This window comes from Homo sapiens, chromosome 11 (assembly GCF_000001405.40).
Source record: "Homo sapiens chromosome 11, GRCh38.p14 Primary Assembly".
In the NCBI taxonomy this organism is placed as follows: domain Eukaryota; kingdom Metazoa; phylum Chordata; class Mammalia; order Primates; family Hominidae; genus Homo; species Homo sapiens.
The window spans coordinates 120590574-120618558 of record NC_000011.10 but is presented as its reverse complement, the minus strand read 5'-3'; the positions used below and the strand labels follow the sequence as shown (position 1 = coordinate 120618558).

At 49.8% G+C, this 27985-nt stretch overlaps 1 protein-coding gene across 21 annotated transcripts in view, besides 3 other annotated features; it reads right to left on the bottom strand.

The window, feature by feature from the left end:
* GRIK4 (glutamate ionotropic receptor kainate type subunit 4) overlaps positions 1–27985 on the bottom strand; it is a 477159-nt gene that overhangs the window by 370348 nt on the left and 78826 nt on the right. The window lies entirely within an intron of this gene.
* Positions 5197–5536: an enhancer, noted in NCBI's record as "active region_5639". NCBI's record gives its function as "activates an Ori minimal core promoter by ATAC-STARR-seq in GM12878 lymphoblastoid cells {active_cell/tissue: GM12878}" and the evidence as "EXISTENCE:reporter gene assay evidence [ECO:0000049][PMID:35858748]".
* Positions 8042–8555: an enhancer, noted in NCBI's record as "H3K4me1 hESC enhancer chr11:120480713-120481226 (GRCh37/hg19 assembly coordinates)". NCBI's record gives its function as "activates a minimal SCP1, AML or CMV promoter by ChIP-STARR-seq in naive H9 embryonic stem cells {active_cell/tissue: H9 hESC(naive)}" and the evidence as "EXISTENCE:reporter gene assay evidence [ECO:0000049][PMID:30033119]".
* Positions 8854–9577: an enhancer, noted in NCBI's record as "NANOG-H3K4me1 hESC enhancer chr11:120479691-120480414 (GRCh37/hg19 assembly coordinates)". NCBI's record gives its function as "activates a minimal SCP1, AML or CMV promoter by ChIP-STARR-seq in naive H9 embryonic stem cells {active_cell/tissue: H9 hESC(naive)}" and the evidence as "EXISTENCE:reporter gene assay evidence [ECO:0000049][PMID:30033119]".

Here is a 27985-nt window from a genome sequence, read left to right as displayed (position 1 = left end):
GCCACAATGGTCTCTGAAATGCCTCAAGGCCTTTTCCCTACTGTCTTGGCTATTAGCACTTGGCCCCTTTTTACTTATGCAAATTTGTACAGCCTGCTTGAATTCCTCCCCTAAAAATGGGCTTTTCTTTTGTACCACACGACCAGGCTGCAAACTTTCCAGTTTCATGCTCTTCTCCTCTTTTAAATATAAGTTCCAGCTTTAAGTCATTTATTTGCCCATACATATGAGCATAGGAATTAGAAGCAGTCAGGTAACATCTTTAATGCTTTGCTACTTCGAAATTTCTTCCACCAGATACCCTAAATCATCACTCTCAAGATCAAAGTTCTACAAATCCCTAGAACAGGGACACTAGGAAGCCAGGCTCTTTGCTAAGACATAGTAAAAGTGACCTTTTACTCCAGTTTCCAATAAGTTTCTCATCTCCATCTGGACACATCCAGAGCCTGGCTATCTCTGTTCATATCACTATCTGCATTTGGGTCACAACCATTCAAAAAGTCTCTAGGAAATTCCAAATCTTCCTGCCTTCTGCTGAGCCCTCCATACTCTCTCAGCCTCTGCCTATTACCCAGTTCCAAAGTTGCTTCCACATTTTCAGGTATCTTTATAGCAATACCCCACTCCCGATACCAATTTTCATTATTATTCCATTCTCACGTTGCTATAAAGAAATATTTGAGACTGGGTAATTTATGATGAAAAGAGATGTTACTGGCTCACAATTCTGCAAGCTGTACAGAAAGCACAGCAGCATCTGCTTCTGGGGAGGCCTCAGAAAACTTACAATCATGGCCAAAGGCAAAGGAGGAGTGAGCACTTCACACAGCCGGAGCAGGAGGAAGAGTGGGGGAGGTGCTACACACTTTTAAATGACCAGATCTCACAAGAACTCATTGACTATCACAAGAACAGCACGAAGAGGGAAATCCACCTCTATGATCCAATCACCTACAACCAGGCCCCACTGATCCAAATGATATCACTGTCTGTACAAAAAATTTCGAAATTAGCCAGGTGTAGTGGCACATGTCTATGGTCTTAGCTCCTCAGGAGGCTGAGATGGGAGGATCACTTGGGCCTGCGAGGCTGAGGCTGCAGTGAGCTGAGATCGTGCCATTGCACTCAAGCCTGGGCAACAGAGTTAGATCCTGCCTCAATAAATAAATAAATAAATAAGATAAAATAAAATAAAATAAAATAAAAAAGCTTTTCCCAGTCATGAACTATTAATCTTCTTAGTCAGCTGTTCATCCAACCATTATTTATTAACCACCTACTAAGTGCCAGGTACCTAAGCTAGGTACTAAGAAAACAATGGAAAGCAAAGCAGACATAGCCCTGCTGTATAGAGCTGACTGCGGTTCTTAACCGTAACCTCTTGCGAGACAAAAGACCATTTTGAGACTCTGGCTGAAGGTTTTACGCTCTTGCCCAGAGAAACACACATCACTACTTACACGTAACACTTTGCCAACATTCACGGGGCTCCCGAGAAGGTTCCCCAGGAGAACCCCTGTCCTAAGTGAACTTTTTGCTCCAGTCACACCTGTCCACTGCCATCCTGGAACCCTCTTTGATCATTCTAGCAGAGGCTTTTAAGCCTCTTAAAAAAGTCCCCTTTAGCAGTGGCAACTTCAAGGAACCCCAGGGCAAAAGCCCAATAAAAACTGCTTGATGCACAGGGGGCACTGGAATCACTTGTACAGGTAACTGTAGTGTATTATAAGCTTGTTTGGTGCAAGGAAAGCTGACTGGTTCATTGCCTGAGACAAAAGGGTTATCTTGTAAAATCTGAGCAGCCCACTCCCATATCTGAAATCTGTGTGCTCCCTCAAGGTCTTGACGTAGTTTCATGTGCTGATCTTTGGTTTTCCGACACCTTTGGAGGGGTCTGGTGCCTTGTGCATGACCATCTCCAGTCCCTCTGCTCCCCTCTCAACATTCTGTATCCCTTCCTGGCCACCATGGCCAAAGCACTTTGGCCATGAGGCATTGTAGGGCCAACTTCCTATTCCATCCATCCTGGCTGAATAGCCTAGGGTCAAATCTTCCAGACCAAAGTATCCAGCTTCCGTCTGAAGATAATGGCTCCCTAAGGAACATGTCTGTCACGGCCAATTTGAAAGAGCAATCTAACAGGCGCTTCCTCAGGACCCCTTATGAAAGCTCCATTCTCCACTGCTGCCTTTATGACTGAGCTCCAGCTAAGGTGCACCTGCGGATCTCTTAGTAAAGGGATTATTGACCCACAAGCTGAGTGGTCACAATCCATCATGGCCCATTCTACAGGCCCCTCTGCTCCTGGGGCTGGCCCAGACTCCGTGGCTCAAATATGGGTCAGTCCACAGCCCTCTTCCCCATCCCCACCATGCACCAATTCCCAAGTTCTTCCCTCTGCCCCATCCCCACCCCAACAAAGATGTAAGGCCAGGGATTTTATGAAGTGCCTAGGACTGGCAGAATCCAAGGTCTCTTAGATTGATCTAATGTAATGGATCCCGGGTGCTTGACCTGTCAGCCAGCAGACAGCTGGGTCCTGGAGGAGACAAACCTCTGAAATCAGCTGGTAACCCTCTGCCCTCTTTGTAACCCAATTCCTGCTTCTCCCCAACTCCTGGGATTTCAGGCCTGGAAGGGATACTAGATCCCATCACTTAGCAGATGAGGACGCTAGGCCCAGAGAAGAGAAGTAGGGGGACACATAAGCAATGAGTGAGACTGAAATCAAGATCTCCTGGCTCCTACTCCAGAGCTCTTCAGTTGTCAGATTAAAATGAAAACTGAGCACCCAGTTAAAGAGGATCCTGGGGATCCCCACCCACAAGCTGCAATCACAAAGCCTGATGGCAAAGTCACTTACCAGGCCCTAGGGGCAGGAAGAGTGCCAGCCAAGCCCAGTAGGTAGAATGCATTACTGAGAGGTCTCTAGGGGCTCCCTGGGACAAAAAGAGTGACAAGCCAGAGCTGGCATGGCTGGGCTTCCTGGAATAGAGAAGAGAGCCAGAGCCCGGGCAGCTGCCAGGCCCTGCCAGGCAGACACAAATTCATCAAAGGGTGAGGGGCTACGACATTCCTCAGAGTCTGACTTAAAGGCAGCTTCCATCCATCAAGGCCCAGGTACCCTTCAATCCATATTTTTGGGGCATAATTAACAGGCTTTTAGTTGGATTGAATCTTATTTTTGGTGTCTATACACAGGAGGCCCACAGAAGTAGCCCACCCAACCCGCTCAATGCTTTGTGAAGTGCCATTTGGCAGAACCAAGCTCTCAGATGGTGAGCGCAGCCAGGAAAGATGGTATGGTACTAGGTTCAGGGCCTCAATCGGCCTCCTACAAGCTGCATAAACTCACTTAACCACTCTCTGCCTCAGTTGCCTCAAATAGCAAACAAGAATAACAACACCTGCTTCATGGGATATCAAAAGGACCAAGATGAGATACACAGAAAAAGCACCTAGCATGGTGCCTGACACAAACGAAACCCACGATGAATGCATATTTGCTTACGGTTTTTGTTTGTTTGTTTGTTTTGTTTTTTGTTTTGTTTTGTTTTGAGATTGAGTCTTGCTTTGTTGCCCAGGCTGGAGTGCAGTGGCGCGATCTCAGCTCACTGCAAGCTCCGCCTCCTGGGTTCACACCATTCTCCTGCCTCAGCCTCCCGAGTAGCTGGGACTACAAGCGCCCGCCACCACACCCGGATAATTTTTTGTATTGTTAGTAGAGACGGGGTTTCACCATGTTAGCCAGGATGGTCTCGATCTCCTGACCTCATGATCCACCCGCCTTGGCCTCCCAAAGTGCTGGGATTACAGACGTGAGCCACCGCGCCCAGCCAACTTACAGTTTTAATAAATCAGATCACTGCCAGTGTCTTCCAAGAAATAAAAATTGCAAAAATGCTCCTAGAACCGTAGGGTAGCTGGCATGTACATCTGAGTGGGGTTACAGCCACAGGAGATGTCTTCACTGCAATGGCCAAGCCTGGGTCTAGGATGCAGTAGTTCAGATTGGCCAGGAGCAGCTGTGGGGCCATGTCCACTTCTCTCACACTCGCTGATCCGGGGGCCTCCAGATGCAGGCACCTCTGTCTCATCCAAGAACTTTCTGGTCTCTGGAGCTCATGCAGCCCATGCACATGGGACAGGCCCCAAGTGCTAGACCCTAGCTAGTGGCCATACTCTCCCACTGTGCCCCAGTGGGATTGGGCCCCGGGTGGCCACAGTTTTATGGTCTTCTTTCCCTTCCCTGTCTCACTTCTCCACTCTTCTATCAGGCAAATGAGTGCACTTTTAAAAAACCATAACCCCCTTTCTGTGTGGTTCCCAGGACCACCAACCACATAACCACTTGCACTTACTTCTGTCTTCACTTGGGGTCTGTTTCTGGGGGAGCCACGCCTACATGGGGGGCAGGCCAGGCACTGCACTGAGGGCCTGTCCCCATCACTGCCTGCAGGGAAGGTTCACAGAAGGAAGCGAGAGAGGATGCAGGCTGAGCTTACATATGCAGAGGGGAGGGAACAGAGGGCAGGGTGAACCAATTGATAACCTAAGGTTAAGACCAAACTCCTGGGAGAAAACAGATTGCCCATTGCTGAGTCAAAACAGAACAGCATGTCTTTGAGTTCACAGATTCCTCTTTTCTAGGCTATAGTAGGGCTGGCAACTTTGCCAGAAGGATTATCAGGACAATTTTTAAATGCCTCAGCACCCTGAGACAGTGAGCAGGGCAGTGTGCAGAAAGCTCACCCCACACCTGACTCTGGGCTCTTAAATCCTTCCCTTGGACCACACAGACGCTCCTGCAGAGCTCAGGAGCTTCCCTGCCCCAGGACCTGGAGCCACCTTCCAATCAAGGATAGAATCACAGCATTTTGGGGATGGAAAAACACGGAGGGCATCTCCTCCAAGCTCCATCTGAGGCATGAATCCCTGCACATCATGTCTGCAGCACCTTTCAAGGGAGCAAGAACAATGTGTACACATGCACACACGCAAACACATGCACACTCCGTGTGCTGCCCTGCATTCCTGGTCAATCCCCCCAGTGCTATTTGCCTTGTACAACACATGCACACATCAGCCCCACACAGATTAAGGGGATTAGCTCTTATCAAGAGCTTTGTATCTCCAAAGCTCTTATCAACATCAGCTAATTAAGCAGACAGCCCCCCTTCCCTTGGCTGAAGGGTATAGAAAGCACAGGACAAGAATTGACAAGACCTGAGTGCTAGTCCCACTGTGGGGGCATGTCTTCTTGTACAAGACACAGAGAAACAGGAAGCAGTTATTATGATACCCCACACAAGAGAAGAAGAAACAGAAAGTGTGAGGAACTTACCCAAGGCCAATCAGCTAAGCAGCAGCTGGGCTCAGCTGTGAACTTTGGTCTCTCCAACTCCAGAACCCGAGCTCTCTGAGTCACAACGACACATGGATATGAGTAATCATCCTCATTCTCACCAGCCAAGACCCCAATGGCAGAGACCAGCCCTCCAGCCTCAAATGGCTCTTTATCCCAGCAACCCCACCACTCACACACAGAACCCTGCTTAATACGAGGGTCACTGATTAGAAATGCTTTTTTCTCACACACACACTCGGGTTTGCACCATGTGCCCATGACCCTCCTCCCCTACCTACCTCACTCCTCTTTGTCCCTGTGTTCCCTGCCCCGCTCAGGGCTCTACACACGGTGGAAGCTCAGAGCTCTGGTATGGCCTCTGTCTGACCCACCCAGAGTCAGCAGGGAGCACTCTCCTGTCACAGACAAAGCCCCAAAGCCAGTTCCCATCCACCACAAAGTAGCCCGATAATGAGGGCTACACTGACAACTTCTAGTGTCAAGTCTAATAATTCCCTTTAACTGAGATCTTTTGCCTTCAGTGAAGTCATCAGTGGCTTTCAGGAAATGATCAGAAAAACCCTTTGGATTTCCACCTGTCATGGGGAATCCCACATGCTATACGTTTCATCATAGGGACTCAGGCTTAGTCAATTCTTTCAAATGTTGGCACCCCTTAACAAGGCTAATAAGATTTTTTTTTTTTTTTGCCTCAAAAGTCTTAATAGGATAGAAAATTTAAGGAAATCAATCAGTAATTAATTACCCATTAAATTATCTGCCCAGTATTATGAGGACACAGAAGTATTTAGTAAAATCCTTGCTCTCACGGAATGTAGAATGGATAATGAGAAAAACTAGCATTACAATGAGATAACAGCTGAACAGGCTTCCACACTACAAATATAGTAGGAAATTTATCATTCATTCATTCAACAAAGTGCCATTTAAACTCTACCAATGGTAAAGTCTACTATAGATGGACCCATGGTGGTTCACGGGCGGACGAGTTGTCCCACAGGGATAGATACGAGGTGTATCGCAAAGGAGATACATCACATAAGTAAGTGATACAGGACAAGGTAAAGTATGACAAGCATGTCAGGAGAAGAATGAATTAAGTATTACAGGAGCGGTACAGAAAAGATGGAATTACTAGGGAAGGCTTTGTGGAAGCAGCAGGACCTAAGTTACAATCGGCCCTGCAAGGAGGTAAGGGGTCACCAACTTTCTATCCCTAGGAGGGGGTGCCCTCAACCCAAAAGCACAGCACTCCCTGCACTGCACAAAAGAACTCAGGATTCATCTTAAGAAATCAGAAGCTAGCAGGTTCACACGCACTGGCTTCATCCCAGGTGGGGCGCACCAGGCCTGGAATTAGAGCACTCATCCGTCCAATGAACATTTCAGGAACACTGATGCTGCGGGGGAAGGGAGGAGGCACAGTCTCCGCCCCCACCGAGCTTATAGGCAGATGGGGGAGAGAGACAAGCAAACTCCACCAACAAGAGATGGATGAAGGGTTATACCACACACAGGAGTGTGCTGAACTGAGACTGGGGTAGTGGGCAGTGAGGGATTATGCACGGAGGAAGGGTGACTAAAATGAATCTTGAAGAACAGATGAGAGCTGGGTGTGCAGGCTGCAGCCGTGAAAGCAAATCATGATGATAACAGTAACAATTATGATACACCATTATCACCATTTTTTGAGCGCCTTCCTTGTCTTTTGCCAGAAACTGTACTTGGTATTTCACACACACACGTGCATGCATGCAGACACGCACACGTTAATGCTAATCATTTTTTAGTGTGTGTGTTCAGGATGCAAGTGATCCTTACAATTATACTGCATATTAAATATTATTGTTCCTCTTTGACAGATGGAGATACTAAGGCCCGAAGAGATGAAACCACTTTCTCACAGCCACACATCCAGTAATCAGCAGAGCTAGGATTCAAATCTCTCTACATCCTATCCGCTATTCCACACTTTGGAGCTACTGGGTGGAGTTCCTATGTGGCCTCCTGGACAAATGGGCCAAGGGAGTCATCGAGGGGCCAGAGTCCCTAGATCTCTGCACCCCAATCTAGAGTCCCAGGGGCTGAACGAAGGTGAGCTGACCCTCTCCTGGTTCTGCCTCGAGCTGTCAATCCAAATCAAAGTCTTGTCCGCTCACTGGGCCTTGGTTTCCTGTTGAAAACGACAGGACATGGGCCGGACGTTCTTTCAAGGCTCTTCCTGCGCTGACATTCTGAGACTCTGTGGTTCTCATGTAAAAGGCCTGAGCACCAATACAGAACCTGGTCAGAGAGTTTCCAATCAACATGTTTTGCTTGCACCCAGGCTTGTGACTCACTAGGCATAACCTGTAGCAAGAATCCCCTTGCTGGGGAGGGGGACCTCCCTAGGGCAGAATGGGCAAATCCCAGAGTTCCTGAAGCTCAAGACACTGCAGGCATTTCCTATTTCCTGCATCCTCCCTTCACTTCTCCTATCCTGTCGTTCCTTTGAAAACTTAGAGTGAGCTCCGCAGACCACAAAGAACATGCTGCACTGTCTTCTGGGCATGCCACTCCTGAATGACAGTGTCCCCTACCATCTGGTCTCTCACAGACTCCAAGCCCCCAGCCCACTGTGCTCTCCACCCTCCACTCCGGCTGCCTGGGCCAGCCCCAGGACAGGTGAGAGAGCTCATCAGCAGAAACCACGAAGCCAGACACCATCCCTGCGGCCACCCTCTCCCAGCAACACACAGCCATGCCACGTGTTCCGAGGCTTAGGGGGTTGGCATCCAGGAGTGCTGCACACAAGAATAAACAATCTCATCTCTGAGTGTATATTTTGTCTTCATTATGCCACTGTGAAGGTGTTAATATACAACTTACAACATATTAATCACCCCTCTAACTTCCAAACGCTAAATGCATCATTAACATTCATGTTTTCTTCAATTACTTGGCTGTTCTGGGGGAAGGGAGCAAATCAGCTCCTCACTGAGTCACTCTCCTGTGGAAGGCTCACGGATCATAATAGGCAGTCCAGGCCTCCACCTGTATTGTGGAATGAGAGACTCCTGCTCCGAGCATCGCCATAAAAACAAAGCGAAACCAAGAAGCGAGAGACAGGAGAAGGCAGATGGGGAGGGAAGGAGGGATGCACACAAGGAGGAATCCCATGCATATCAAAGGCTCACAGAGACCAATCAGTCTAAGCCCTGCATTTCATAAATGAGAGGACTGGGGCTCGGAGAGGGGAAGTGACATGTCCAAGATCACACAGCAGGTTAGTGGAGAGAGCCGAGGAAAGGAGGGACAGGAAAACCAAGTGTAGAAGAGGAAAGAAAAAGCAGTAGAAGGAGAAAGGGGTAGAAGGCAGGTCCATTAAGATGTGCAGGCTGGGCGTATGGCTCATGCCTGTAATCCCAGCAATTTGGGAGGCCGAGGCAGATGGATCACCTGAGGTCAGGAGTTCGAGACCAGCCTGGCCAACATGGTGAAACCGCATCTGTACTAAAAATACAAAAATTAGCCAGGCAGGTGGCACGCACCTGTAGTCCCAGCTACTCAGGAGGCTGAGGCAGGAGAATTGCTGGAACCTGGGAGGCGGAGGTTGCAGTGAACCGAGACCTCCAGCCTGGGCAACAGAGCAAAACTCTGTCTCAAAAAAAAAAAAAAAAAAAAAAAAAAAAGCAACTGCAAAGATGGGGGAAAAGGGAAAGCAGAGAGGGAAAAACAAAGGTAGGGAAAGCTACCTTTGGGAAAGGGGAAAGGGGGAAAATGTCTCAAACAGCCAGGAGTGGAGGCACATGACCATGGTCCCAGCTACTTGGGAGGCTGAGGCAGGAAGATCAGAGGAGCCCAGGAGTTTGAGGTCACCCTGGGCAACACGGCAAGATGGCAAAAACAAACAGCTCTAAAAAAAAAAAAGTCTGAAACAGATGCAAGCCCAGAACTGTCTTCGACTTCACCCCCACCTGCCTGCACCCAGATCCCCGAGGTGGGAGGGGCTGGGGGAAAGAGAGAAAACTCTGAGAGGGACCAAACAGGCCCAACTGAAGCAGGAGGGGAGGCGCTGGGAGCACGCAGGGTTGGGCCTCCACCCCAGGCTTCAGATTGAGCCAGACTAAATATGACATGCAATTAAAATGTCATTACCCCACAATTGTGCAATCCAAACTTCACTTGGAATTTGTTACAGGCACTGGTGGCTACAAAATCAATCTGCTATTGTATTTCAGCAAATCAGATTCAACACTCTCCCTGCCAGTGGGTTGCAGACTAGCTCTGAATGGAAGAGGAAAGAAAAAAAGGCTCCTGCTGGCAGGTCACTTTTGTATCCACAGGCCGCCAGCCAGCCAGGCCTATCCACCTTGAAGAAGGAGCATCCAAGGTCAGGAGACACAGGCGCTTCCAGAAGGGTGGGGCTGGGGGCAGAGGAGCAGGGCAGGAGGTAGCAGGGTCAGCTTCTGGGGCACCTTCTGGGCCCTGCAGAGACACAAGCCCTGACAGTTGTTTGCACCGTAGTTAAAAACCCATATGCTTCATCACAACCTACACAGTGCTTTGAAAGGCATCATTCTTGTGAGTCTCACAACTTAGAAGGGGGGTCACTGCTTCCTCCACAATGAGGAAAAAGCCCTAGAGGGGTGAGGATCACAACCAAGGTCACCTCTCAGTATGGGTAGGGGCAGAGACTGTGTTACTGATGACAGCATTTAGCCCTGAAAAATACACATGCGTGCACACACACACAGAGTGTGGCCAGTGGGGCTGGCCCCAAGAGCCTTTGTAAATGTGTCCTCTTAGCCTAGTGATTTTGAGTCTTAGCAAGTATTCCTTGCACTCCGCCTCCCAGATTTCTCCTTTTCTTCCTATACTTTTTGTATAGATGGGGTCTCACTGCATTGTCCAGGCTGGTCTCAAACTCCTGGACTCAAGCAAGCCTCCCACATTCTCTAAGCTCACTGCTGCACTCCCAGCTGGCTGGAAGCCTGCAGCAGCCTCATTGCTGGCCTCCTGACCTCAGCCTCTCCTATCTCTGACCTTACACACCTTTTCCAGAATCATCTTCTAAAATGCCACTTTGACCTTGACACTTCCTTGCTCAAAAACCTCGTACAGCTGCCTCTCTGGCTTCTGCTCCTTACCACACGACTGAAAACATTCCCTGCAAAAGCCCCATGACCTCCTCATTGCCCAGCGAAAGCTTTTCCACCCTCACCTGATTTGACTCCTCTCGGCAGCCACTGTCTTTTCCAATCTCTTCCAACTGGCAACCACCCCCTGGAATCCAGGGTCTCACCTGCCCTCGTTTTTCCCTCCACCTTCTCCAGTTGCTCCTCAGTTGACTTGCCAGGCTTTCTTCCCCAGATTGTTCTATAAATTCCTGTGTTTCCCAGCTCTTTCCTCTCTCATCTGCTCTCTGCTCTTCTTAAGTGACTATAAGTGACACAATCTGGGCCCGTGGCTTTGGCTGCATCTCTACCCAAATAAAGCCCAAATCTGTGTCTCACGCCCACACCCCTCTCCTGGATTCCACACCCCATCAATCAACTTCCTGCTGGGTGCTTCCATGTGGCCAGCTTACAGGCACCCCAAACTCAACATGGCAAAGCTGAATTTGTCATCCCCTTTCTGCCCCCAAATGGCCACTCCCCCAAATTCTTTCTATCTGAATGGCATTTCCACCCAACGTGTGGTCCTGGGAATCAGACTTGACTCCTCCCTCCCCTCACCCACCGTGCAGATGCCCACAGGGCCCTGCCCCAGCCCCTTCCCCAAGCTGCAAGCACCTGGGCTCTCTTCATGAAGGCCTTCTCCCGGCCTCCTGCACACCAACGTGCTGTGGTGCTAAACACAGGTGCCCCTCCCTGCCTCACTGTGCCATTGCTGATTCCCATGATCGCCCCTCAACCAAACCCGTTACAATACAAGTCATTTTCTCAGGGTGTACTTTTGGGGAAACCCAGCCTAAGGGCCCACCAATACTGAACCGGTCACCACCATGCAGTCCACTTCCTGAATGTCTCCCCGAAGCCTGTCCTCCTCCTCCTCCTCATTTCTCACCTGGACCACTGAGCCGAGCCTCCCAACTGGCATCCTTGCCTCTGGTCTTGCCCTGCTCCAAACCATCCTCTCATCCAATGAATTGTGGCATTCCCTTGCCATCTCCAGGAGACCACCCAAATTCCATCACCTTTGTGGCTTCTAAGCCCTCTGTGACCTGCTCTTACCTCCTGGCCACCCTAAACTCCTACCAGGCCCCTCCGGAACCCTCCATCCCCAGCCATACAGAATAGCACCCAGCCTCAAAACATGCAGATTCCCCTCCATGCCACTGCTCCAGCAGCACGCCCTGACTGGAACGCCCTTATCCTCCTCGGCCATCTGCAAACTCATTCTTAGCTGAAGCCTGAGCTCAAGGGCTGTTCCTTCTCTAAAGTCTTTCCACGGCCCCATCACTCCCAGTCACCTCCGTGGGAGAACTGCATGCCCTCCTCTCCATGCTCACAGCTCCTAACGACACACTTCTCCCCCAACACCTGCGGCACTCTCATGCACAACAGCTTTCCATCGTAAAATCCCCAGGGCCTAGCTCAGTATCTAACACTTAGTAGGTGCTTCTTAAACCTCAGTTGCCAGCATGAGCAGATGAATGGACGGAATGAGTGTGCTCACAGGCCTGTGGGAGGACACAGTTTCTCCCCTCGGGCTCTACCCCTGGCTTGGCCACTGTCTGATGCGGAATCTAGAGATGTCTGGCAGAGACCTTGTCTTTCCTTCCACAAATGTTTACAGCGCTATGTAAATAACTCTCCCTGGGGATGATACATGTGGCCATTCTGCCCTGGGCCTGCCATGGTCCATGCCAACTGGGCCGTCAGGGTGGCTGCTCAAGTGAGACGCTGAGGAGCGTGGGTCTGCAGAGGAGGGGCGTGGGGAGGGGATTTAATACAACACTGTACGAGGACAAATCTGGGCCCCATGCCATGAAAAACGTGAATCTGTCCTTGACTTCAGTGGCAAATGAGGCGTCAAAACATATCAAAATGCGATATTCAATAAATGGACGTATTTAATATTTTATGAGACTGGAAATCAGTTACTGAAGGTTTGAATGATAAATCAAGCACCAAGCAGATGAACTTTTTCAAGTGTCTGCACCTGAAGGGTATCATTTCTCAGGAAGGGAGATGGGAGGAAAGAGAGAAAAAGAGGGCAAGAACAAGAAGCCTATTAGAAAAGGCATAGAGACCCCAGGTACACCCTCTCCCCAGCCACCGCCTGTGCGGTCTTTCCCTGCTGCCCACCAGCCTCATTGACCTGGCACAACTAAAGAACTTTCTCCATCCTACCAAAACCCTGTAACTTCCTTTGGAATTCCATTTAAGCAGCTTCCCTGACCCATGATCCCTCTTGCACCAGGCCCACGGCAAGCTTGTGCCACCTCTCCACGCTCTGTGCCCAGCGTGGCTGAAGGGCAGGGGGTTTTACACATCTACCTCCCTGCTATGCTGTAAGCTCTCTGAGGATGAAAACAAGGCCTCCCTCACTTCAATATCCTCCAGGGCCTGGAATGTCCCTGACACAAGGTAGAACCACAACCCATGTAGAATTTGGACTGAAAGAGGAAGCTCTTGCAGCAAAAGCCATGGACAACAGCTACAGAGGACCCACCCCACTCAGACGCTAAGCTGGGAACTTGCTGATGGCTGTCACACTGCTTCTTGATGTCATCCTCGCAAAGACCCCATGCTGTAAGTAGTATTTGTCTTATTTAACTGATGAGGAAAATGAGGCTCAGAGAGATTTTGTCCCCTGTGCCTAATTCTATTCTGTACACTTGGAGAGGGCAGGAGACTGGCCCACCTACTGTTGTAAGGGCAGAGCAGTGTCAAGTCTTCAAACACTTTATTGCATGAGTGATGCTGGTGCCTAGCCTCCCTCAAATACTCGTTTTGATATTTAACAGCCATCACTGACAAGTAACACGTTCATCTTTCCCAGGGGTCCCTAACTTGGCCAGTCATCAGTATCACTTGGAAAGTTTTTTAAAATTCAGACTTGGCTGTGCTGTGCGCACTGGCTCACGTCTGTAATCTCAATACTTTGGGAGGTCAAGGCGGGAGGTTGCTTGAGCCCAGGAGTTCAAGACCAGCCTGGGCAACATTAAAAATTAGGCAGGTACGGTGGTGCACACCAGTGGTCCCGGCTACTCGGGAGGCTGAGACAGGATAATTTCTTAAAGCCAAAAGGTAGAGGCTGTAGTGAGCCATGATCATACCACTGCACTCTGGCCTGGGCAACAGAGTGAGACCCTGTCTCAAATACATATATATATCAGACTTCCAGGCCCCACTTCTGGCCATTCCAAGTAAGTCTGAGGCAAGGTCTGGCCATACACATTGTTTTCTCTTATTAAAGCTCTCTGGATGACTCTGACAAAGAGGCAGATTTGGGAACCACCAATGCAGCCCTGTAAATCTATCTGGATCTTGATTCTGTTTTCTCCAGCTCTGGCTTATCGCTAACAGGGGCTGGCTGGCCCCTTCCTGGGACAGGGCTTCTGCTGTTTCTCACCACTCCCATGTTCTCTTTTCTCATGAAATCCTCCCCTGTCTGTATTTGTCTTCAGGTCACAGTTCCCACTGCTGGGCGATGACTGTGACCCTCTCCTATCTGACTTTAACTTCCCAGGTCTGGGCACAAGCCCAGTGAGGTCTTAAACCTGCCGGCCAGCCCATCTGGAAAGCCACCTTGGTAGCATAGTTAGCTTTGTCCAAACGGTGCTTCCCCATTCCTGACCAAGATGAGTGTTACCTTTATTTAGTTCATGCCTTCCTGAGATAGGAAAAGCAATGCGATGCCCAGGGGGTACCACCTGCTAACAGAGGGCTCCCCACACCTCGGCACCTCTGGCATCTGGGGCCAGATCATTCTTTGTGGCAGGGCTGCCCTGTGCACTGTAGAATGTTAGTAGCTTCCAAACGAAGGGGGGCAGATCATTCTTTTTTTTTTTTTTTTTTTTTTTTTTGAGAAGGAGTCTCGCTCTGTCGCCCAGGCTGGAGTGCAGTGGCGCGATCTCGGCTCACTGCAAGCTTCGCCTCCTGGGTTCATGCCATTCTCCTGCCTCAGCCTCCCGAGTAGCTGGGGCTACAGGTGCCCGCCACCACGCCTGGCTAATTTTTTTTGTATTTTTAGTAGAGACGGGGTTTCACCGTGTTAGCCAGGATGGTCTCGATCTCCTGACCTCGTGATCCGCCTTCCTCGGCCTCCCAAAGTGCTGGGGTTATAGGCATGAGCCACCGCACCCGGCCAGGGGCTAGATCATTCTTTGTGGCAGGGCTGCCCTATGCATTGTAGGATGTTAGCAGCTTCCCCCACCTCCACCCACCACGTGCCAGTAGCACCCCCTCTACTTGTGGCAACAAAAATGTCCTCAGATATTGCCAAACCTTCCCCCCAAATGAAAACCAAGGAGTTAAGCCCCATCAAGGGGTATGACGCTTGAAGGCAAAGGACTTGTCTTTGAACCCAAGCCCTGGGCCCTATGCCCGGCATGTGTTTCTTTATTTTCAAGATGGGGTCAGGGACATCTTCCAGGGCAGGCTTGTCGTGAGGCGTAAATGAGACTGATTTAAATAAAGCAAGGTGGATGATCATGCCTAGTACAAACTGGAGAGAGTTTTCAAAGGAGGGCTGAAAGAAAATGCCCACAGGCAGTACTGTGCAGGTAAACTGGCTCTGAAAAAATAAACAACGAACTGCAGAAATAAAAAGCCCTGATTTGTAGTGTTTGCTGACTTCTATGGTGGAATACACCCAAGATGGCCAATTTCAAGCTGCCAGCCTGATGTCACTGAAGGCAGAATCAGGGAGAGATGTGCAGATTCACACTCTCGAGCCGACCAAGCCAATAAAGTAAGTGTAGCCTGGCAGGTGTGTGGCCTCAGGGAGAGGTGGGCCTGTGGCCCATGGGAAAATGCCTGCCCTACCCACAGGCATTCAAAGTCATTGCCAAGCCAAACAAAACAGCAGCATGTCTGCACATGACCTATCTGCCAGTGGGACTCAGTCTCCCCATTTGTGACCTCAGCTCTGGAGATTCCCCATCAGAAGATCATCCCTCTGCCACCTTCCTCCTTCTCTCCTACCTTCAGGCCTGTATCGTCAGATCTAGCACTCTAATATTAATAAGACACTGGCCGGGTATGGTGGCTCATGCCTGTAATCCCAACACTTTGGGAGGCTGCGGCAGGAAGACTGTTTGAGGCCAGGAGTTCGAGACCAACCTAGGCAACATAGTGAGACCTTATCTCTACAAAACATAAAAAAATTAGCCAGGCCTGGTGGTGCACATCTGCAGTCTCAGCTACTGGGGAGGCTGAGACGGGAGGATTGCCTGAGCCCAGGAGTCCAAGGCTGCAGTGAGCTATGACTGCACCACTGCACTCCAGCCTGGACGACAGAGCGAGACTCTGTTTCAAATGCTAATAAGAAGAAGATACTAACGAAAATGCAGCCAGAAAACTAAGGCGAGACAGATACCCTCATACCCAGATAGGCCTTCAATCGGAACTATGGGCTTCGGGCTCAGCCAGTTCTGTGTTCAGAGCCTCCTCTGTCAACACTGGAGCATGCTCTTTTACTTCTCTGTGCCTTGGTTTACTCATCTGCAAAATGGGTTATCAATGCCTGTCCAAAAGGATTGAAATGAGGTGAGCCTGAGGGAATTTCTAGAAGCTGCCAGGCCAATTCCTTCCTTCCTCTTCAGGTGGGTCCTCATATGGCTACCCACCCATTCCCAGAGAGGGGCTGGCACTCCCTGAACAGTCCCCTGGGGAGCCAGCAGGATGGTAATCAATTCCTATAGGGCTCTGTTTGTCCACTAAATGGAGATTGGCTCCAGGAACAAAAACTCAATCAGTTGAGAATAGCAAAAAGATGTTTTCAACCTTTTTATCATTTTAGAGAAACTAGAAGGGGGGCCTCCACAGCTTGTCAAAAGCAACCAAGAAGAAAGAGGGGGCAATCTACGGAGCTGGCTCCCAGGGGCTTCCTGAACTATACTGTAAGGAGCCGCTGGATGAAAGAGGAGGATGAGAGCCCGGGGAAGGCAGCCCCGGGGTACCTGGCTGGGACTGAGCTGGGGAGAGGGACTCTGGCAAAATCAAAGAGAGAGGATCAATGGCTCAGAAGGTGAGGGTTCCATTTCAATCCTCCAGACCTGTAGGAGTCAGGGGTCACTGATAGCCTAGGGTTCCCCATTTAAAAAGAAGCCGCTTAGCCCACTGTACCAGAAAACTATATAAGAAGCTCACCCAGCTTCTTTATCCTTCATGCTGCTCTCTTCCTCTCATTCAGCCTGGACCAGGAACACAGAGGGCACAGCTCACTTCTGTTCCCATTCAGCTCTGAGTCATTTTCACCCCAAACTCAGTCACTTTGTATTTTATACTTCCCCCACACGTTGAGCCTACTTATTCCTTATTTATTTTGCTCATCTCAGCCCCTTTACTTCTGGGAGTGATTCCAACTTAAAAAAAAAAAAAAAAAAACCACACACACAACAACAACAGAACCAAAAAAAAACCAGTCAATTATGAGACAAGCTGCTTGCAAATGAGAAAAAGCCTCCCCTCCTCAATTTTGCGCCCCCCCACACCCCGCCTTAAACAGAGGGACCTGATCTTTAAACAAACAGCCACTAATGTGCTATGTGAATTGAATCATCAAGTCACTTGCCCTGTGTAGACCTTCCTGGACAAGGTTCTTTTGGGGTTTGTTTTTGTTTTCGTTTGAGATGGAGTCTCGCTCTGTTGCCCAGGCTGGAGTGCAGTGGCGCAATCTCGGCTCACTGCAACCGCCACCTCCCGAGTTCCAGTGATGCTCCTGCCTCAGCCTCCCCAGTAGCTGGGATTACAGGCGTGCACCACAAAGCCTGGCTAATTTTTGTATTTTTACTAGAGATGAGGTTTCACCATATTGGCCAGGCTGGTCTCAAACTCCTGACCTCAAGTGATCTACCTGCCTCGGCCTCCCAAAGTGCTGGGATTACAGACGTGAGCCACCACACCCAGCCCCTGGACCAAGTTCTTCTTGTCCAAAATGTGGGTGCTGTAATAGTTCTCATGAGTTTTGCTTGTTTGTTTGTGACAAGGTCTCACTCTGTCACCAGGCTAGAGTGCAGTGGCACGATCCGGCTCACTACAGCTTCCATCTCCCCAGGCTCAAGTGATCCTCCCACTCAGCCTCCTGAATAGCTGGAACTACAGGCGCATGCCACCACACCTTTTTGTATTTTTTGTAGGGATGGGATCTCAGTATGTTGCCCAGGCTGGTCTCAAACTCCTGGCCTCAAGTGATTTGCCTGCCTCAGCCTCCCAAAGTGCTAGGATTACAGGCATGAGCCACCATGCCCAGCCTCTCATGAGTTCTTAATCTTTTTGAAGGTCACTGACCTCTTTGAGAATCAGAACAAAGCTACAGATTTACCCCTTCCAATTTCACTTTCCATGCATATTTGTGATGCTGCCTGTAATGCCAGGGACTCCCAGAACCCCTGAAGATCTTCCTGGTGGGGAGAGGGTCCCCAGACCCCTGCCTCTGCACTCCTGGCTAGGATCTCCTCCAGTCCTGACTGTGGGAGGAAAACAAAGACCAGCATCCCTCCTCAGCCCTCTGTTCAAAGAGCAGAACAAAAACCAGGTGGGCTTTGCTGGGAGGCCCAGAGAGCAGGAACCCCATTTCCCTGAGTTAGCCTCAGGCACTGCCTCTGAAAGGCTGCCATTCAGGCAGCCAAAGCTGATTTGACATTTGTTTAATTCGCAGGAAAACTCTAGTTTTCTTTTTTTTTAAGACAGAGGGGGGAAAAACTCCCATAAAACCTCTTACTCTCTTGCCCTAATGGGACCCATAAAGGCTGACAGTGCACCAGGAATCAGCCACGCTGAGAAGCCGGAAGCCTGGTGGGTGGAGGTACCCTCCCGCTGTGGGAGGAGCAGCTTTAAGAGTCTCATTTTTCTGCAGGCCTTAGGGGCTCCCACATTGAAGGTCTCACCTTTCCCTTTCCCCAAACACACCTGAATCAGGGCTGCCAGCACTACTCTCCCTGGAACCTTCCACCCAAGGGCTTCGGCCACCTGCAGAGTGGGCGGATGGCAAGGTCGCTTCTAGAGCTTTTCTGATGCGCCAGGCCCCATGCTAGGTGCTCATGCCAGCATGAGAAAGCGTCAAACCTAAAACCAGCCTCTAATGTTCAAACATACTCTGGCTGCAAGAGACACCAAAAGCCTTTCTTTCACCTTTATGTCACGGGCTCTGGGGCAGGGGTTCCCTTGTGCTGAGTTTGACTTGCTCCTTGCTCGGGTGAGTCACCCAAGAAGGCTGAGCTTGGGGACAAGGCCCAAGGTGTTTGTAGCTCCTACTGCCTTTTCTCTCCCTGCTGAAAGGAGAGTTTCAGGGCAACCTGGAACTGAGGCCCACACCCCAGGAATACCCAAAGCTGGCAGCCTTGAAACTGGTTTTCACAAACCTCTGATCAAAGTACTTTCTGCACTGAAAACGGGGCACTATATCCCTGGAAGCACAAGAGGGAGGCTAGGGGGCTGAGAATACAGTAGCAGAGATGGAGCTGGCAAGACATCTAGAGACTCCATCACTGACTCATTCTTCTGAACCGTTCCTTCCTTCAAAGGGCCTAAAACCCTCTGGTCTTCATCTCCCAGATAACGGCGGAAACTCTGTTAAGTCCAGGTGGAGAAACCAGGGCATGCTGTGAGCCTGAGAAGAGGGCAGGCATGGGGCACCAATGTCCCCTCCTCCATCCCTGGAGCCTCAAGCCCAGAACAGGGACCTTCCCCACCACCAACTCCAAACATGCACTCCAGGTTCATCTGCAGCAGCTGGTCCAGGGAAATATTAATAACAATCATGAAAGGTAATGACTAGTTGTGAGAACAAGGATCAATTCAAAAGGGAAGTTGTGTTTTCACATTCTCTGCGTGTTTAAAAAACAGCAACACACGCATCAAACAAACAAAATGAGGCATCTGTCTGGCACAGCCTCGTGATATCCCGTCCAGATGTGGAAGCTCAGTAAGCCCCCTCTCCACACCCTTAGTTTACAGGACCAGGAGCTGTGAAATGGCCTTTGAAGAGTGGGTGTTACCCTTTGCAGTAACGCAGAATGACCACAAAGCCTTCCTCGTTCCTGCAGGCACACCCCTTCAAATGGGGCTTCTTGGCCCCTCCCATCAAGAGAAGGAGTCCATTATCCATCCCTTGAGTCTGGACTTGGACATATGACTTCCTTTGGCCAACCGGACATTAACAGACATGAAATAACAGAGGATGTAAAAAGTACTTAGGCATCAGGCTTCCCTCTTCTGCAAGATAGACAGGGTCCAAGCCAGCTCAGTTACTTTCAAAGAGGAAGAATGGATATCTACATCTACATGGACATGGAGAATGTGTGAGGAAGAGGTCAGGCCTGGGCGAGCCTCTTGGAAGATAAGAGGCCATGTGGTCCTTGCCACAGCTGATACTGAGGGAGGCCATCCCAGTTCCTGCAGCCCCAGACAACCTGGCCAAGACCAAAGGAGCCATCTAGCCAAACACAGAGCCATCAATAATAGTCAAGTTCATTGTCTTGAGCCACTAAGTTTTGGGGAGATTTGTCATATGGTGGGAGTTAACCACTATACCGTGCCATTCTCTGTCAAGGAAAAGAACTGGTTGGCTCCTCAGGGGGTGGGCAGGTTCCACCACGCAGGCCAGGAAATGTCCCTGGAGCCGATGGAGAAAGACCACAAACTCTGCACTGGAGGTTGAATTCAAACCACCGTTCTGCTACCTGCTATCCAGATGACCTTGGGCAAGACACTAACTCTGTGAGCCTCAGTTTCCTCATCTGCACAAGGGGCACAGCAAGCCGTTTCATAACGCTGCTGTGAGAAAGAAATGAGAGAATGGATGGAAAAAGTCGGATGCACAGCAAGGGCTCAACAGATGCTTGTGTCTCTTTTTTAATCAGTCAAATTCGATGGTCAAGGCATCTTCCACCTTGATTCCAGAAGAGTGGAAAGAACAGAAGGGGCCCAGACCAGCTCCAACTGCGAGGCCAAGGGAGCGCAGGAGGGGAAGTCTGTTGTTAAAACAGCCGCTTGGCTCTGTCGCTGAGGCACTTAGTTTTTAATCTCTCTGAGGAAAGAGACGTTTCATCCAACATTCACCGCATCAGCAACTCTCTAAGTAAAATGCAGAAAACATGACGTCTTTATTCATTCCATCAAGCAGTAATTAGGGCTCGGAACAGGAGTCTTCAACGGCAGGCACTCCCGCTCCTGAAAGTCAGGCAGGTTTCTAATTGGGCTGGAGAACAACTTTGGGGAGATCTCACAGAGGTCGCTAAAAGGGACTCATCCACAGTCACAATTTCCCTTTCGCTTTCAGATGCTTAGAGAAAAATTCGAATGCTGCACTGTATTAGGAAATCAGACAAAGCGGGGGGCTGCACTGAACAGGCAGCACGCATGGCCCACCACCTCAGGACCCCCACGGATCCCTGAATGCAAACACTCTGGCAAAGCGCACGGCTGAGGCAGCCAAGTAAGACTGAGAGGCAATTTGCTTTTTGTTCTTTAAAAAGAATCAGCTAGAGAAATTGCCTTTATGTGACACTGAGACTCTGCTGCCTGCCACGGGGCTCAGCTGGGGGCGCCCGGGGCTCGGTCAGAGAACAGGTCAGATCTTCACCTGTTGGGTAGTCAGCCAAGGAGGGAGAGGAAGGAGAGGGAACTGGCAACTGCCCAGCTCCCACCGTGTGCAGCCCCAAGAGGGGTGCTTTGCATACATGATCTCACTGCATCCTCCCCAGAACCCTCTGCGGGAAACATCATCTCCTCATCATGGTGGGAAGGCACTTGCCCCGTCACCCAGCAGGTAAGGAGCAGAACCAGATTGGAACCCAGGTGGAGAGGGAGCGGCCCCGCAAGGTGAGTGGAGCTGCCTCTGGCATCCAGGGGCCCAAGAACAAAGCTACCTGGGGCTGCCCTGGCATGAAGCTGTCATGTTCCCAGCTCTGGGAGCAGCCGTTGACTAAGCCAGGGGTCCTGAGGCCCCCAGTGCTTACATATATAGAAGCCCCAAGTGAGGGGAGAACTGGATGGAACACAAATCTCAGCCAGGCGCGGTGGCTCACACCTGTAATCTCAGCACTTTGGGAGGCCGAGGCGGATGGATCACTTGATGTCAGGAGTTCAAGACTAGCCTGGCCAACATGGTAAAACCCTGTCTCTACTAAAAATACAAAAATTAGCTGGGTGTGGTGGCGGGCACCTGTAATCCCAGCCACTCGGCAGGCTGAGGCAGGAGAATCACTTGAACCCAGGAGGCGGAGGTTGCAGTGAGCCAATATGGCGCCACTGCACTTCAGCCTGGGCGACAAAGTGACACTCTGTCTAAAAAAAAAAACAAAAACAAGTCTAACTGCTGAAGCCCCTTCTCAGACCCTCTGCCCTCATTTTCCCTACACATACTCTCCCTTACTTCTCCAGTGTGGCCCCTTCTCCATATGCTTTATAGAGAGACAGAGGCTTAGGCATAGAGACTTACATATAGACTTCAACGTAGACACATAGACATAAAGGCATAGACATACACACCTAGACACAGACATCCATCCTTCCCCTTTGGAAATAATTTTGCTGGCTTGAACCCCACTCTGTCCTTCTCCAGTCTCTCTCTGAAGCGCTCCCTAACACCCCATCTTCTACTTCCCTGGAAGATTTCATTGTTCCCTCATCGGTGTTCCCACAGCCTCTTTTCCCACACTCATCACGTTGCATTTTTTTTACTGGTTAATAGACCTGTCTCCCTTTCTAGAATGTAAGAATGGAGACAATTTCTTTTTCATCTTTATAACCTCAACACTTCACACAATGTGTGACACACAGTGGGCATTCAAAAATATTAATCAAAGGAACTAATTCAACAAATACTTTTTGAGCACCTACTACAGGCTGCATGCTAGGGATACGGTGACTTAAAAAAGCCATCCCGGTCGGGCACAGTGGCCCGTGCCTGTAATCCCAGCACTCTGGGAGGCCGAGACGGGCGGATTATTGAGGTCAAGAGTTCGAGATCAGCCTGGCCAACATGATGAAACACCGTCTCTACTAAAAATACAAAAATTAGCTGACCGTGGTGGCGCACGCCTGTAATCCCAGCTACTCAGGAGGGTGAGGCACAAGAATCGCTTGAACCCGGGAGGTGGAAGTTGCAGTGAGCTGAGATCACGCCACTGCACTCCAGCCCAGGCAACAGAGCAAGACTCCATCTCGAAAAATAGAAATAATAAATACAAAAGCAATCAGGGGCCTACAGTGCAGACTGGGAGGTGCTCTGCCTGCTGAGAGCAGTGTCCCCAGGGCACATGGTCAGCAGAGGGATGCTTCCAGGAAGAAGTGGAAGCTCAGCTGAGACCTACAGAAGAGTGGGAGGTGTCTGGGTGAAGGAGGAGAGCTGTTCCAGCAAACTGAGATGCATATGCAAAGACTAAAAAGTGACAGAGACTAAAGAACATTCTAGAAACCACCATTCCATGTGGCTAAAGTAGAAACTGTGAGAGGTCATCAAGCAGCAGAGGATAAGGTCAGGAAGATGAGCACCACTCCTCCATTCACGCCCTCAGTCAGTAAACAGGTGGTGAGCACCTTCCCTCTGCCATGCACCTTGTAAGGTGAGCAAAATACATACAGTCTCTGCCTTTATGGAACTTACAGTCTAGAGGGGAAGAAAAAAAGTATACCGAAAAAATAATTTCAAAATGTGCTAGGGGCTGTGGATGAAACTAACAAGAAGCAGACATAAAGAAAATAATACAGCAGAGAAACCTTTATGTGAAAACAATCTGAAACTTAAAGGATGTGTGAAAAGCAGGACGAAGAGTGCTCCAAACAGAGGGAATGGCGTGTGCACATCTCCCGAGGCAGGAGAGGGCACAGCACGACCACGGGCTGCAAGGCCAGGGAGAGTGGAACACAGCGAGCGGGAGGAAAGATACTGGTTAGGATGTGCTCAGCCACATGCAACAGACGGCCTTCCTAAATGTGGCTGGAACCATAAAGGCATTCATTATCCCTTTGAAGAGGAGGATGGCAACTTTGTGGTTGATCCTGAAACTCATCTGTGGCTTTAGAGGCCTGCTCCTTCCATCTGCCTTCCTCGGTATGTGGACAGTGTCTCCCTCGCTGGGGGTGGCTCCTCACCCTCCGACACCCCTAAAGCAGGAAGGACGCATGCAGGCATCTCCTCTTCACGAGTCACTCTCGTATGAGGGCAGCCCATCTTTCCCACAGCCACCAGCAGACATTCTCTTCAGTCCCACCACTTACCCCAATCAGTGGCAATGGAGTCATGGTACGGCTATGAGTGAATTGGATTAACCGTGGCCCAACTGCAGTGAATCACAGGAGGGCACACCTTCCCTGAAAATACCACCACCTCTTTCATGGAAGAAAAGTACCCTATATCTGAACAAAATCAGGCTTCTGCTGACATGGAAGATGGGAGGAAACAGCTGTTAGGAAGGCAACTGATCAAGAAGACAGTGCAAGAGGAGGCTGGAGAATTAGATGGGCCAGATCATACCCTATACGGCATTACAAGGGCCTTATAAGGCATGGCAAAGAGTTACGATTTTATTTATTTATTTATTATTTATTTATTTAGACAGGGTTGTGCTCTGCTGCCCAGGCTGAAGTGCAACGGTGCAAACACAGCTCACTGCAGCCTCAACCTCCCAGGCTCAGGCGATCCTCCCACCTCAGCCTCCTGAGTAGCTGGGACAACAGGTAAATGCCACTGGCTAATTTTTGTATATATATTTTTTAAGACACGGGGTCTCACCATGTTGCCCAAGCTGGTCTTCAACTCCTAGGTTCAAGCAATCTGCCGGCCTTGGCCTCCCAAAATACTGGGATTACAGGCATGAGCCACTGCGCCCAGCAGGATTTTATTCTAAGGGTAATGAATAGCTACTGAAAGGTTTGAAGCACAAGAGTAGCATGAAACAATTTAAATGATGTATTTGAAATGCATAGTTTTTAAAATGCTGTGCTGTGTGAAGAACAAGGAACAAGAGAAGTGGAAGGAGAAAAACCAATTAGGAGGCTACTGTCTTAGGTCAGAGGAGAGATGGTGGTGGCCTGGACTGAAGGGTGGCAGGGCAAGTGGAGAGAGAGAAGGGTATAAATTTGAGGCACCTGCTGGAGGTAAATTGGCAGGACTTGGTGGGGTATGGGATGTGGAGAGTGAGAGAACGGAGAGATCAGGAATGACTCCCATTCTTTTGGTCTTGTAAACTGGTGGACAATTGTGCCATTTACTGAGATGGGGAAAGAGGTAGAAACAGATTTGGGAAGAGGAATAAAGTGGTTTTCCATGTTTAGGATATATGGAGGATATTCAAATGAAAAAGTCAAGTAGATAGATAGATGGAACTGCTAGAACAGCACTCAGGAGAGAAAGTTGGAGGTCATCACTGTATAGATGGTATTGAAAGTGTGGCAATAGGTGAGTTCACTCAGAGAGAATATACAGTTAGAGAAGTGGGGGGCAAGGCTTGGGACATCCGACATTTAGACAGGAGTAAAGGGGGAGTCAACAGAAAGGGATACGAGAAAGACAGACCTGAGATGGGGGAAGCAGGAGGAATGGAGTGTTGAGAGCCTGGAGAAAGTGTCTCGAGGGAGGAGGGAAGTGTCGAATGCTGCTGAGAACCAAGATGAGGACAGCAGAGTGTCCACAGGATTGGGCAACATGGAAGCTACTAGCGACCTCCCCAAGCTGTTGAGTGGATTGGTGGGGCAGCCGCCAGATTGAAGTGGGCAGGAGAGTGATCGGGAGGTGAAGTGGAGGCAGTGTATGCCCACAACTCTTCTGAGTTGTTTGGCTACAAAAGGGAGCAGAAATGGAACAGAAGAAGAGGTACAACTGCAGGCGGCTTTTTTTTTTTTTTTTTTGAGACAGAGTCAGGCTCTGTTGCCCCAGCTGGAATGCAATGCGCGATCTTGGCTCACCACAACCTCTGCCTCCCGGGTTCAAGCGATTCTCCCACCTCAGCCTCCTGAGTAGGTGGGATTACAGGAGTGCGCCACCAGCCCAGCTGATTTTTTGTATTTTTAGTAGAGACGGGATTTCGCCATGTTGGGCAGGCTGGTCTTGAACTCCTGACCTCAGGTGATCTGCCCGCCTGGGCCTCCCAAAGTGCTGGGATTACAGGTGTGAACCACCACACCCAGCCAGCTTTTTCAAAGATGACAGAGAACAGAGCACATCCCTGCCTTGCTGCGAATGATCCAAAGGTGAGATCCCTGAGAAGGTGAGGGGCTGGGAGGCAGACATGCGGACGGCCAGCCCCTCAGAGTTGCAGGAGGGGCACATGTGGGTGGGAGGTCAGGCGGGCTTGCAGAGTTCAGGGTGTAAAGGGGCTCCAGTCTGATGTCTTCTGCTTCCTCCCTGAAGGCTGAGGTGAGATGCTGCGCTCAGAGGGAGGGTGTGGGAAGTGCTGAGGGAGATCTGAAGCCAGAGGAGGCAGGAAATCCAAGCTTTGGGGAGTAGAAAGGGAGTCCACAAGAGAAACATCATTCGATAAAAAATCTCAAAAGCCCCCTGCATTGAACTATGATTTTCAGTTAGGAAATCTTCCAGCCCAACGGAATGCAGTACCGAGCAGAGGAGAGAATCAACTGGGAAACTAGCACAGCAAGCTTCGTTCTTGTTCTCAGGGTTCGTCATTAAAGAAAAACAGGTACAATCACGTAGGGGGTGCCAGGCCATCGTAGGACGGCGGCCATCTCCGAAGAGGCGTGTGCACACACACGTTAGCAGGTCAGACGGCATTTCCCCATGGACTTCCGCACAAGTTCTGGGCTGCTTCATCATCTTTTCAGAAGGATCTGTAATTGGCACTGATTCTTAAGCTTGAACATAAAGTTTTCCAGTCCCTAAAGCCTCTCTGTCAAGTACTTAATGACCTGTAAAACACTTAAATAAACCAAAAGATCTCTGATTTTAAGGACCCCAGCAGCAAATCTTTTTCTGTAAAGCAAGGTCTTTTGTGATGTAAATGACCTCCACCTATTGGATTTTCCTAAAGAGAGGTCCACCTGCATTCTAGGGCTTTGTGACCTGAGTGGAGCCTGCACGAGTGGTTTGTACTGACATCTTTTATTTCCTAGGACACTGATACACATCTGCTCAAATTAATTACTCTTCCAAGATCTCTCCCCTGATTCAGCTGGTGGGAATAACAGTCCCTGTGCCGATGCAAATACAGAAGAGGAGGGAGGGATGCAAGAAGAGGAGGAGGGATGCAGGAGGAAGAGGCATGGACTAGGCATTGTGCAGCTTATTTTATAAAAATGCAAGCATCAGCACTTCACTTGTACCCAAAATGTTTGTCTATGAGCATCAATCCATAGGCAAACACACAACAGAGCTGTCTAGGACAAAGAGACAGAGGAAAAAGCTGGGTACATTCATCCCTAGTACTGACTAGGGGAACTTCTGAGAAGAGGCTGTGGTGGAGGGAAGAGGGAAGAAGGCAAAAAGCCCAGAGGAGGCAGAAGGCAGCTGGGGTGCACACTGAGTGTATGCTACAGTTAACCCTTACAACACGCTTTTACATTAAATTCTAACCTTATTAGTGCTATGGCTAGTGGGAAGACACCAAGAGGAAGAGTGAACATGGGATGGAGTTGGATCGAGAAGGCAGCCATGGGATGGTGCCCTATTAAGGCATCAGCTTCCCTGCCAACCAGTAGCACAGTCATGCCTAGGCCCATCTGCCAGCATCACAGCCCAGCTACATACAGGCTTGGGAGGCAGGGTCAAGGGGCATCCACCAGCCCCAGGTGAGTCCTAGTGATGCCTCCCTGCCTCCTGACATCCAGGTGCACAGCCATGCCCAGGTCCATCTCCTCCCTTGACTGTGGGAGACACCACCTGGGTACCTCCCACAGTCAAGGGAGGAGATGTGCAAGGGAAGCAGAGACGATAAATTCAGACACCATGGTCCTATTCTTTCACATGTGGCTGGATCGCGCAGTATGGTGACTTGCCTCCATTTACGCTTCCAGTGTGAGAAGGAAGCAGGTGAAGCAGCCAGATCTCCTGTGATTTAACCACTAAACATAACACCTCTTGGCAATGACCATCATCATTTGGGAGTGTCCTGGGCCTCAGGTGAGAGTCGGCCTACAGAAACCCCGGGAAGGATGGAAGCCGGGGATTCGTTAAGTCCCTTAACCCTCAACAGCTTCATTTAACCTGCCAGGAGGACAGAGATAGCAGTACCCATCTCAGAGGTTGCTGAATCAACAATCTGTATAAATCACTTAGCAAGGTGCCTGGCATATACTAAGTATTCCACAAATGAAAGGCTAGCCAAGGCCTAGAGGCAAGGACCCTGTGGCAGAAGCTGCTTCTGAGGGGCCTAAAATCCCTGAGTCATGCTTGAGTCACCATATGGTGAGCCTTGGGGTTCCCAAAGAAGAGGCCTGAGTCCAAATCAAGGGAATGAGCAAAGCATATTTATTCATCCATTTATTCACTCTACAATTGAAGCGA